Source organism: Homo sapiens, chromosome 20 (genome assembly GCF_000001405.40).
Source record: "Homo sapiens chromosome 20, GRCh38.p14 Primary Assembly".
Classification (NCBI taxonomy): Eukaryota; Metazoa; Chordata; class Mammalia; order Primates; family Hominidae; genus Homo; species Homo sapiens.
Window position 1 is genome coordinate 9,042,640 of NC_000020.11, and position 12,933 is coordinate 9,055,572.

The following is a 12,933-nucleotide window of genomic DNA, read 5'->3' on the forward strand; positions in this document are numbered from 1 at the left end:
ACTGGGTATCTACTCAAAGGAAAAGAAGTCATTATATGGAAAAAACACACGTACATACGTATTTATAGCAGCACGATTTGCAATTGCAAAGATATGGAACCAACCTAAGTGCCCATCAACCAAGGAGTGGATAAAGAAAATTTGGTACATACACACCATGGAATACTACTCAATACTACTCATAAAAAGGAACAAAATAATGTCTTTTGCAGCAACTTGGATGGAATCTGGAGGCCATTATTCTAAATGAAGTAACTCAGGAATGGAAAACCAAATATGGTATGTTCTCACTTATCAGTGAGGGCTAAGCTAGGAGGATACAAAGGCATAAGAATGATGCAATGGACTTTGGAGACTCAGGGTGGGGGAAAGGCTGGGAGTGGGGTGAGGGATAAAAGACTACATCCTGGGTACAGTGTACACTGCTTGGGTAACAGGTGTACTAAAATCTCAGAAATTACCAATGAAGAACTTATCCACATAACCAAAAACCACCTTTACCTCCCAAAACTATTGAAATAAATATTTTTAAAAAATTTAAATAAACTATGTTAGTATATTTTGTAACCCAAGAATTATCTCCGATAGGTCTCAATCAATTTAGAAGTTTATTTTGCCAAGGTTAAGGACAATGTCTGAGAGAAAAACAAACGACAACAACAACAACAACAAATCAGGGAAACCCAGAAACTGTCTAGGGTCCGTGCCTTTTTCCAAAGATGACTTTGAGGGCTTCAATATATAAAAGGGAAAAGTGGGCTGGAAGGGAAAGAGGGAAGGTAGCATCATCCACATATTTCAAGAGAAAAGCAGCCGGTGGAGGTATCATCAATTATGCATTTGCCTTGTGCTCAGTGAATGGGCACTTTACGTAAGATAAGGTGAACAGAGTCGCTACCTATGGAGATATTTTACCTGTAGCTAACTGCTTAAGAACAAAAGGAAAGGCAGGTTCTTGCATGACTCAGCTTTCCGTTTAATTTTTTCCTGTTGGCATAGTGAATTGAGGTCCTGAGCTTTTAATTCCTCTCACAATTAAATGTGTATTTAGATCCTTAACTCCTTAGCAGATCAACCTGGGAACAGAGAAATTTAGTAGCTTAAAAGACGCTGCCACTTGAAGATGAATAAGGCAGAAGATAAAACAGCTCTAAAGAAAAGATATGATTTGACAGTAAAAAAGAAATTCAAATTTCATAAAATGTCAGGAATATATCACTAAGTGAGTTACACCTATGCATTGAAATTTGATGATGACGGTAGGTGTGGGGTTAAGAGCTAATTAGTGAATCTTAAGTAATCATTATCTGTAAAATGAAAAGCAATAAGAAACTGGAAAAGTTAGTCTTTTTCCATTTGCTTCTCAATTGTATCAACATGAAGTATTAGTTTGGGCCCCACTGGTCATCACCTTGCTCAAACTTGTTTCTTTTTTTCAAGAATAAATGCTGTCTGGCCAGGTGCAGTGGCTCACACCTGTAATTCCAGCACTTTGGGAGGCCAAGGCGGGCAGATCACCTGAGGTCCGGAGTTCGAGACCAGCCTGGCCAACATGGCGAAACCCCGCTTCTACTAAAAATACAAAAATTAGTCAGGCGTGGTGGTGGGCACCTGTAATTCCAGCTGCTCAGGAGGCTGAGGTAGGAGAATCGCTTAAACCCAGGAGGCGGAGGTTACAGTGAGCTGAGATCTTACCACTGCGCTCCAGCCTGGGTGACAGAGTGAGAGTCCGTCTCAAAAAAAAAAATAAATAAATAAATAAATTCTGTTTATTTAAATTTCATTTCATTTATCATGGGTTTCTCTGCATTCATTTTTATTTTTTAATTACAGCAGTCCCCTTTTATCAGCAATTTCACTTTCCTCGGTTTCAGTTACCCTTGGTCAACCACAGTTTGAAAATATTACATTATTTTGGAGAGAGAAAGAGACAGAGGGACAGGAAGAGACCACATTCACATAACATCTATGGCAGTATATTTTTACAGTTGTTCTATTTTATTATTGTTGTTGTTAATTTCTTAACAACAATCTGTGCCTAATTTATAAATTAAACTTTTTCATAAGTATGTATGTCTAGAATAAAATCATAGCATATATAGGGTTCAGTACTATCTGCAGTTTCAGGTATTCATTGGAGGTCTTGTAGGGGGGACTGCTATATTGCATTAAAGCATTAGTCATTTTGATTACTGAGTGTTTTGGCAGCTCTGTAAATTTTGTGTCTCGGGCAAATGCCTCACTTGCCCTAGTCCTGGCCATTCCCTGGGTGGGAAACATTTCTTGATCAGCAACCTGTCCATGGGATCTGTGAACTCTGACCTCTGAAGCTTCTTCCTATTCCATCATCCTTTTCAGCCACATTTGAAATTGACATTTGGGAAAAGACTCTCCTCAGGTTGCTTTATACCTGAAATAGTCACAGGTTTATCTGATCTTAGCAATTCTTCCCCCAAACCTAGCAGGCTTATGACCTAATTGCCTGCAATCCGTTCCATGTGACCAATGACCAAAATCAAGGTCTTGGTTATTATTCTGAAGCCCTATTTGCTTCACTGACTCAGATGCCATGTCTCATTTTCAACTTAATGGGGCTTACCTTATGGGTATGGGGGTTCAGTAAGAAGGCTACCCACTTACTCTTATCTTTGCCTTGAGTCATTTTATCCAACTGAACAGTTTTACTCAAAACCATACCCCTAGGCACTGAAAAGTTTTACTCAAAACCATACCTCTAGGCCGGGTGTGGTGGCTCACGCCTGTAATCCCAGCACTTTGGGAGGCCGAGGTGGGTGGATCACCTGAGGTCAGGAATTCAAGACCATCCTGCACAACATGGTGAAACCTTGTCTCTACTAAAAATACAAAAATTAGCTGGGTGAGGTAGCATGCATCTGTAATCTTACCTACTCAGGAGACTGAGACATGAGAGTTGCTTCAACCCTGGAGGTGGAGGTTGCAGTGAGCCAAGATCATCGCGCCACTGCACTCCAGCCTGGGTGACAGAGTGAAACTTCATCTGAAAAAAAAACAAAAAACATACCCTTAGTCTGTTTGCCTTGATGTCTTTTAATCAACTGAAAGTTTATCCTGCTATTTTGTTACATCAATCTTTTATTTTTTTTAATTCCATCTCTTTCTTTAGGAACTGGAAGCAGAGGGCTTTACCAAAATTACGAGGTCCTGAATTTCTAGAATCTCCGTTTCCTCTCATTTTTACTTGCAAGTTGGCAATTGTTTCTTGAGCTCATTGCTTTCTTGTAGCACCTGCGCCAAATGCAGCCAACTGCAATCAACTCCTGAAGTTTTCATCCTCTTCTCCAAGAGCTACCAGTTTATTAGGCTCATACGACTCCTGTGTTATACAGAAAATGGCTGTGAAAGATATTCCCATCCTAATCCCTGGAACCTGTGAATATGTTATTTTACATGGCAAAAGGGAATTAAGGCCAGGCACGGTGGCTCACACCTGTAATCCCAGCAGTTTTGGAGGAAGGGGCGGGTGGATAGTCTGAGGTCAGGAGTTCGAGACCATCCTGGCCAACATGGCAAGACCCCTGCCTCTACTAAAAATACAAAAGAAAATTAGCTGGGCATGGTGGTGCACACCTGTAGTCCCAGCTGCTTGGGAGGCTGAGGCAGGAGAATCACTTCAACCTGGGAGGCGGATGTTGCAGTGAGCCAAGATTGCACTACTGCACTCCAGCTTGGGCAACAGAGCGAGACTCCGACTCAAAAAAAAAAAAAAAAAAAAAAAGGTGGCAGGGCGGGGAGGGGGGGAATTAAGGCTGTGGACAGATTAAGGTGGCTGATCAGCTAACCTTAAAATAGGGAAATTATCTAGGTGGTCCCAATCTAATGGCATGAGTTATTTAAGAGCAGAGGCGTAAAAGTCAGAGGGATTCCACACAGAAAGGGTAAGTCAGAGAAAACAACATAAAAAGAATACACAGGCACGCCTCAAAGATATTGTGGATTTGACTCTAGACCGGCAGTCCCCAACTTTTTTGGCACCAGAGACCGGTTTCGTGGAAGACAGTTTTTCCTCAGACCCAGGCAGTGGAAGAGCTGGGATGGTTTTGGGATGATTCAAGCACATAACATTTATTTTGTACTTTATTTCTATTATTATTACACTGTAATATATAATGAAATAATTATGCAACTCACCTTAATATAGAATCAGTGGGAGCCCTGAACTTGTTTTCCTACAACTAGACAGTCCCATCTGGGGGGTAATGGGAGACAGTGACAGATCATCAGACATTAGATTCTCATAAGGAGTGCACAACCTAGATCCCTCCCATGAGTAGCTCACAATAGGGTTCGCACTCCTGTGAGAATCTAATGCCACGGCTGATCTGACAAGAGGTGGAGCTCAGGCAGTAATGCTCCTTTGCCTGCAGCTCACCGCCTGCTGTGCAGCCTGGTTCCTAACAGTTCCTAAGATATCAGTTGGTGGCTCCTGGGGTTGGGGACCCCTGCTCTAGACCACCACAATAAAACAAATATCACAATAAATTGAGTCACGCAAATTTTTAAATTTCTCAGTGCATATAAAATTTGTACACAACACTGTAGTCTATTAAGTTCACAAAAGAATTATGTCTGAAAAAATGTACATACTTTAATTAAAAATACTTTATTGGTAAAAATACTAATGATTATTGGAATCTTCTGAGACCCATAATCTTTTTGCTGGTGGAGAGTCTTGCCTCAATGTGGATGGCTGCTGATTGATCAGGTTGGTAGTTGCTGAAGGAAGGCTGTGGTGGCTGTGGCAATTTTAAAACAAAATACAACAATGAAATCTGCCTCATTGATTGATTCTTCCCTCACAAATGTTTTATGTGAGGAGGCAACGCTACTTGTTAGCATTTTACCCACAGTAGAACTTCCTGTAAGAATTGGAGTCAATCCAAAGGTCTAATATCCAGCATCTACAAGGAACTTAAACAAATTTACAAGAAAAAAACAAACAACCCCATTAAAAAGTGGGCAAAGGACATGAACAGACACTTCTCAAAAGAAGACATTTATGTGGCCAACAAACATATGAAAAAAGCTCAACATCACTGATCATTAGAGAAATGCAAATCAAAACCACAATGAGATTTTCATAATCATCAGTCAGAATGGCAATTATTAAAAAGTCAAGGAACAACAGATGCTGGTGAGGCTGTGGAGAAATAGGAATGCTTTTACACTGTTGGTGGGAATGTAAATTAGTTCAACCATTGTGGAAGACAGTATGGCAATTCTTCAAGTATCTAGAACAAGATATATCATTTGACCCTGAAATCTCATTACTGAGTGTATACCCAAAGGAACATAAATCATTCTATTATAGACACATGCACACATATGTTCACTGCAGCACCATTCCACAATAGCAAAGACATGGAATCAACCCAAATGCCCATCAATGATAGATTGGATAAAGAAAATGTGGTACATATACACCATGGAATACTATGCAGCCATAAAAAGGAATGAGGTCGTGTCCTTTGCAGAGGCATGGATGGAGCTGGAAGCCATAATTCTCAGCAAACTAACACAGAAGCAGAAAACCAAACACCACATGTTTCCACTTATAAGTAGGAGCTGAACAATGAAAACACATTGACACAGGGAGAGAAACAACATGCACTGGGGCCTGTCAAGGGGCCAGTGGGAGGGAGAGCATCAGGATACACAGTTAATGGATAGGTTGATAGTGCAGCAAACTATTACTGCACACATTTACCTACGTAGCAAATCCTGCACGTGTATCCCGTGCAGCCCGTGTGAACAGATGTGCTGTTGTCTAGGCTTTGTTGTTTCACTTACAGAGCACAGGGAGAGATTTAACATAATTCTTTTTTTTTTTTTTGAGATGGAGTCTCGCTCTGTTGCCCAGGCTGGAGTGCAGTGGTGTGATCTTGGCTCACTGCAAGCTCCACTTCCCAGGTTAAAGCCATTCTCCTGCCTCAGCCTCCCGAGTAGCTGGGACTACAGGCACCCGCCACCACATCCAGCTAATTTTTCGTATTTTTAGTAGAGACGGGGTTTCACTGTGTTGGCCAGGATGGTCTCAATCTCTTGACCTCGTGATCTGCCGGCCTCGACCTCCCAGAGTGATGGGATTACATGTGTGAGCCACCGTGCCTGGTCCATAATTCTTAAAAGCCCTTAAAAGCCGTAGGATATGCAAATCCTGCATATCCTGCATATGTATCCCAGAACTTAAAATTAAATTAAAAAAAAAAAACTGCAGTCAATCCTCTCAACCCTGCCACTGCTTTATCAACTGACTTTATGGAATATTCTAAATCCTTTGTTGTCATTCCAACAATGTTCACAGCATCTTCATCTGCAGTAGATTTCATCTCAAGGAAATACTTTTTGTGCTCATCCGTAAGAAGCAACTGCTTATCTGTTCAAGTTTCATCATGAGATTGCAGCAATTCAGTCATATCTTTGGGAACCACTTCTAATTCCAGCTTTCTTGCTGTTTCCATCAGATCTGCAGGGACTTCTTCCAATGAAGTCTTAAACCCTCAGTCATTCATAAAGGTCGGAATGAACTTCTTCCAAACTCCTGTGAATGTTGATATTTTTACCTCTTCCCATGAATCACAGATGTTCTTAATGGCATCTAGAATGGCAAATCCTTTTCAAAAGGTTTTCAATTTACTTTACCCATATTCATCAGAGGAATCACTAATTATGGCAGCTGTAGCCTTACAAAATGTATTTCTTAAATAATAAGACATGAAAGTTGAAATGACTCCTTGATCCCTGGGCTGCAGATTAGATGTTGCATTAACAGGCATGAAAACAATATTAATCTCTTTGTACATCCCCATCAGAGCTCTTGGGTGACCAGGTGCACTGTCAATGAGTAGCAATATTTTGAGAGGAATCTTTTTTTCTAAACAGTGGGTCTCAACAGTGGGCTCAAAATATTCAGTACACCATGCTGTGAACAGATGTGCTGTTTGTCTAGGCTTTGTTGTTTCATTTACAGAGCACAGGGAGAGATTTAACATAATTCTTTTTTTTTTTTTTGAGATGGAGTCTCGCTCTGTTGCCCAGGCTGGAGTGCAGTGGTGTGATCTTGGCTCACTGCAAGCTCCGCCTCCCAGGTTAATGCCATTCTTATGCCTCAGCCTCCCGAGTAGCTGGGGACTACAGGCACCCGCCACCACACCCGGCTAATTTTTTGTATTTTTAGTAGAGATGGGGTTTCACCATGTTGGCCAGGATGGTCTCAATCTCCTGACCTCATGATCTGCCTGCCTCGACCTCCCAGAGTGATGGGATTACAGGCATGAGCCACTGCACCTGGTCCATAATTCTTAAAAGCCCTAGTATTTTGTTTTGTTTTGTTCTGAGACAGAGTCTTGCTCTGTCACCCAGGCTGGAGTGCAGTGGTGTGATTTCGGCTCACTGCAACCTCTGCCTTCCATGTTCAAGCAATTCTTCTGCCTCAGCCTCCTGAGTAGCTGAGACTACAGGCACACCCAGCTAATTTTTGTATTTTTAGTAGAGATGGGGTTTTGCCATGTTGGCCAGGCTAGTCTCGAACTCCTGACCGCAGATGATCCACCCACTTCGGCTTCCCAAAGTGCCGGGATTACAGCAGTGAGCCACCACGCCTGGCCTAGCCCTAGGATTTTTGAAATGGTAAATAAACATTGGCTTCAACTTAATGTCACCTGCTGCATTAACTTCAAATTTTGCAGCTTCTTCACCTCTCTGTCATAGGATGAAGAGAATTAGGGCCTTGCTCTGGGTTAGGTTTTGGCTTAAGGGGAATATTTGGGCTGGTTTGATCTTCTGTCCAGACCACACAAACTTTCTCCCTATCAGCAATAAGGCTGTTTTGGTTTCTTAACATTTGTGTGTTCGCTGGAATAGCACTTTTAATTTCTTTCAAAAATTTTTCCTTTGCATTCACAACTTAGCTAACTGTTTGGTGCAAGAGGCCTCACTTTCAGCCTATCTCTGCTTTTGACATGCCTACCTCACTCAGCTTCATCATTTCTAGTTTTATATCAAATGTGACAGACATGTGACCCTTCCCTTCACCTTGAACACTTAGAGGCCATTGTTAGATTAGTAATTGGTCCAATCTCAATATTGTTGTCTCAGGGAATAGGGGGGCCAGAGGGAAGGAAGATAGATGGGGAATGGGCAGTTGGTAAAGCAGTCAGAACACACACAACATTCATCACTTTATATTGGCGCAGTTTGTGGCACCTCAAAACAATTACAATAGTAACATCACAGATCACTGATCACAGATCATCCTGATAATAATGAAAGAGTTTGAAATATTGTGAGAATTGCTAAAATGTGACAACGAGACACAGAGCGAGAACACACTATTGCAAAAGTGGAGCCAACAGATGTGCTTGATGCAGGGTTGTCATAAATTTTCAATTTATTAAAAAAAAAAGCAATATCTGCAAAGTGCAATAAAGTGAAACAAGTAAAACAAGGTATGCCTGTATCTGCCCTTGCTGGCTTTGGTGGTGGAGGAAGGGGATAACAAGTCAAGGAATGTGAGATAGCCTCTAGAGGCTGGAACAGCCCTCAGTTTACAGTCAGCAAGGAAATGTAAATCTCAATGCTACAACTGCAAGGAACTGATTCTGCCAACAACCCGACTGCAAAAACCCAGATTCTCCCTTGGAGCCTGAAGAAAGAAATGCGGCCTGCTGACACCTTGATTTCAGCCTGGTGAGACTCACATAGGACTCCTGCACTACAGATCTTTAAGATAATAAGTTTGTGTTGCTTTCAGCCTAAATTTGTAGTAATTCATTGGAGTAATAATCAAAATCTAATACATGTCCCAAGGTTCCATTGACAACTGTTTTAAGAAATATTTTGCTCCTGTAATATATGCGTCACTGTTTTTCCAGACTCGGATACACATTAGCCAGTTGTTCACCACCTAACTGACAAGTCTCCACCAAACATTTTAGGTTTGTGTTATGACAGCCCTCTACTTCCAGTTTCAATTCCTACATGAGTCAGAATAGCTTAAACTATCCTGTCATTATAAATTAGCTAGGAATCCCAGTGATTTCACAAAGGTTTATGACTCATAGAAAATCTGCTATGGGCCCAGCAGAACTCCAGGACACCTCCCTTCCAAGAGGTGACTCAGAGATCCAGCCTGCTTACATCTCATGACTCAGTTTAATCTAATATGTATATTTTCAGGGGGCCACAGCAGGAAAAGAAAACCCTGCAGGATTTTTACTTTCTCAGATGAAAATATCACTTGTCGCTTTTGCTCACAGTCCATTGATTCACAAATAAAACACAGCTCTGCCTAACTCCAAGAAGGATGAGAAATGTAAGGTTTTTTTTTTTTTTTTTTTTTTGTATGTGCTCAGAAAGAAAGAACTCAATATTGGTGGTAACTAGTGATATCTTTCTATACTTTGTTACCTAAAAAAAAATCAGACTGGGTGTTATGACGCATGACTGTAATCCCAGTGCTTTGGGAGGCTGATGCAGGAGGATCCCTTGAGCCCAGGAGTTTAAGACCAGCTTGGGGGATATAATGAGACCCCATCTCTACTGACAAAAAAAAAATAGCCAGGTGTGGTAGCACATATCTGTAGTCCCCATTACTTGAGAGGCTGAGGCAGGAGGCACACCTAAGCCCGGCAGGTCGAGCAGGCAGTAAGCTTTGATCACACGCTCCACTGCACTCAGATTGGTCCACTTTAAATCTCCAGTTTAAATTAGTTTTAATTTAGACCTTTTAGAGATCTTCTTACCTCCTGACTTGGAAACTTGGAAATTTCAGGGAGAGAAGCAGTGTGGGCAGCATTATTAATTCTTCTCCCATGTAAGAAAGGAAATTCATTGTCTTTTTTTTTTTTTTTTTTTTTTTTGAAATAGAGTCTCGCTCTGTCGCCCAGGCTGGAGGGCAGTGGCGCGATCTCGGCTCACTGCAAGCTCCGCCTCCCGGGTTCATGCCATTCTCCTGCCTCAGCCTCCCGAGTAGCTGGGACTACAGGTGCCCGCGACCTCGCCCGGCTAATTTTTTGTAGTTTTAGTAGAGACGGGGTTTCACCATGTTAGCCAGGATGGTCTTGATCTCCTGACCTCGTAATCCACCCGCCTCGGCCTCCCAAAGTGTTGGGATTACAGGCGTGAGCCACTGCTCCTAGCCTGGAAATTCGTTGTCTTTTATGGGAACGTTTCTTTCCTCTCCTTCCAGGTTGTAATCCTTTGTTTTATATAAATAGTGAGGAAATAGGAGAAATGGAAATAGAAATGACTGTCTGTTGGTGGAGGAACATGCCCCAGTCTTCCTCTGGCTGGGTATGCAGCTGATGGCCTATTTCAAGGTGATTTCCCTTAGGATGGTGATGCATTGTTTCTTGGGGTGATGTCCAGCATAGTTTTGCCTCTGCCCCACCGAGGACCTTGTGGAGAGCAGCAGCCAAGTCTCCCTTTGTCCTCAGCCCCATTTCTGGGTTGGGCATCATATAGCCTGAAGTAGCTACTGGGTTTGCTTCCTTTTCTATCCTTTGTGCTTCTTCATGCGTGGAAATTGCTGAAGCCCTTTTGTATGCCCTCTAAGAGTCTCAGAGCACTGAGATACGGTGAAGATTGCCCACATCTTCTTACCAGCATGCAACACCACAGTCCCTTCCTGCCTGGCTCCTCTCCCCAACCCACCACAAGTTCCTGTCATTGATAATGATCTCCACGTGAGAAGCAGGCATTATACTTTATGTCCTGAGACATAAGACAGAGTTACTTTCAGTAACTCTGCAGCTACATCTCAAGCTCTCCCAAGAACTTCCTTCCCCTGCTCCCTCATTCAAGCTCCAGTTAGCTGTAATAGCTAGCACAAAGTGGGCCAATAGGTTTTGTAGACCAGATGCTGCCCAACTACATGCCCCATGAGATGCCCATCTTCCTTTCTAAGGGGCAAAACAAAATCTTTAGAAATAGTTTATTCAGAGCATCTCTCTTTGGTGTGGTGTGGGAGAAGAACCCCTCTCCTTTCTCTCATGAAGAGGAAGGGAAAAGCCATGGTTCTCCTTACTATTCAGCAGCTGAAGATGCCAGTGATTCTCTTTTTACCTCCCTAGTCTCTTTGGGAAAACATAATGTACATAAACAATCAATAAAATGCATTACAATAATGTAAGTGCTATATAAAGTCATTCCTTTATAGTACTACCACTAAACCACTGTAGAAGTTCAGAGAAAGAAAGAGATTAATAAGCTCTAGAAGTAGTCTGAAAGAGTCCTGAGCTAGCATTCATTGAATTTTTGTAGGTGCCAGATACTGTACTAAGCACTTGTGATTGTTAATTTGATGTGGCTATTTGACTGGGCCATGGGGTGTCCAGACATTTGGCCAAACATTATTCTGGGTATGTCTGTGAGGGTATTTCTGGATGAGATTAACATTGGAATCAGTAGTAGACTGACAATCTTCTTCCTGATATTAACACAATTATGGAGAAACTGGAGTGAAAGAAGCCACCTCGACGATCCTTTCCTAGATTCACCAAAACTGAACCTGGAAAACTCCATTGCACTAGTCAGTTCCTCATCTGTACCTACATTTAATTCCACTTAACTCATTTCTGCTTCTATTTATTTTTATTTTTCTAAATTTAGCCCAAAGGCTGAGTCAGCCCAGCCTTAATGTCCATAATCTGTTGGGCCTGGCTCACTGAAAAAGTACTGTGGTGCCTTCATGGAGATGACACTGAAATAGGCAAAAGAAAAATGCACGCAAAGCCATTAGCCAGATGAAACCAGAGTCATGCTTCCTTGGCAAAACATCAGTGCAGTATTAAAAAGTAGTGAGGAACAGTGGGCAATAGATGCTATCTGTCCAGATGCCGTTTCCAGGGTTCTAGATCTGCATTTTGCGGCTGGGAGCAATAGGGCCACTTTAAAGAGGCATCACAGAAGCTATTGATGTTTCAAATGGGATTAAAACAAAACCAAATCAAACATTCCCCACATGTTGTAGGCAGTTTCAAATAAATGATTTGCCTTGAGATTTTCAGTAGTCTACATGGAAATTCTCAGAACTATTTTTCATTCTCTTTTTTAAAAAATAATGAATTTATTTATTTCTTCAAGGTGTCAGAGATTTAATCCAAGCTGTAATTAGCAGTTCACCTCTCCAAGTACATTTTACAACTAGATCCTAGATGTTTTCATTTGCATAATTCTTGAATGTCATTTGTGTTAACTTAATATTTTTTGTACAGTCTTTCTGTTATCAAAAGCTTTCCCTATATTTCATCTCATTTGAAAGAATAAATTCAGATTTCAAAAGGTAATTTCAGAAGTGTCTCTTTTAATCATGATAAATTTGAAACATTTCTTCATTTATTCTCTAGATTTAGTATTTATCTTTTTTTAATATCTCTGTGTCTATGTATCTATTATATATTTTATTTATATTTTATACCTATATTTAAACTGTATATACTGCTTTATATTTACACTTAATTTTATATTTATATTTGATCTCCTATACCAGCCGTCCCCAACCTTTTTAGCACCAGGGACCAGTTTCCTGGATGAAATTTTTCATGGAGGGTGGTCGGGGTGGGGATAGCTTTGGGATGAAACTGTTCCATCTCAGCTCATCAGGCATTAGTTAGATTCTTATAAGGAGCATGCAACCTAGATCCCTTGCATGCACAGTTCACAACAGGGTTCACACTCCTGTGAGAATCTAATTCCACAGCTGATCTGACAGGAGGTGGAATTCAGGAGGTAATGATCACTGGCTATACCGTCTTAAACTTCTGCTGGGCGGCCCGCTTCCTAACAGGCCACAGACCAGAGGGTCTGCGGGCCCGTCTTGTACTATTTACTGTGTTGGTAACCAGTACATCTAGGAAATGCTTTAACAGACTTTTCGAATAATATATATTAAAT

The 12,933-nt window shown here is 41.4% G+C and overlaps 1 annotated feature.

The window, feature by feature from the left end:
- Window positions 8,360-9,559: an enhancer, noted in NCBI's record as "P300/CBP strongly-dependent group 1 enhancer chr20:9031646-9032845 (GRCh37/hg19 assembly coordinates)". NCBI's record gives its function as "activates an origin of replication core promoter dependent on BRD2, BRD4, P300/CBP, MED14 and CDK7 cofactors, with strong dependence on P300/CBP, by STARR-seq in HCT116 cells {active_cell/tissue: HCT116}" and the evidence as "EXISTENCE:reporter gene assay evidence [ECO:0000049][PMID:35650434]".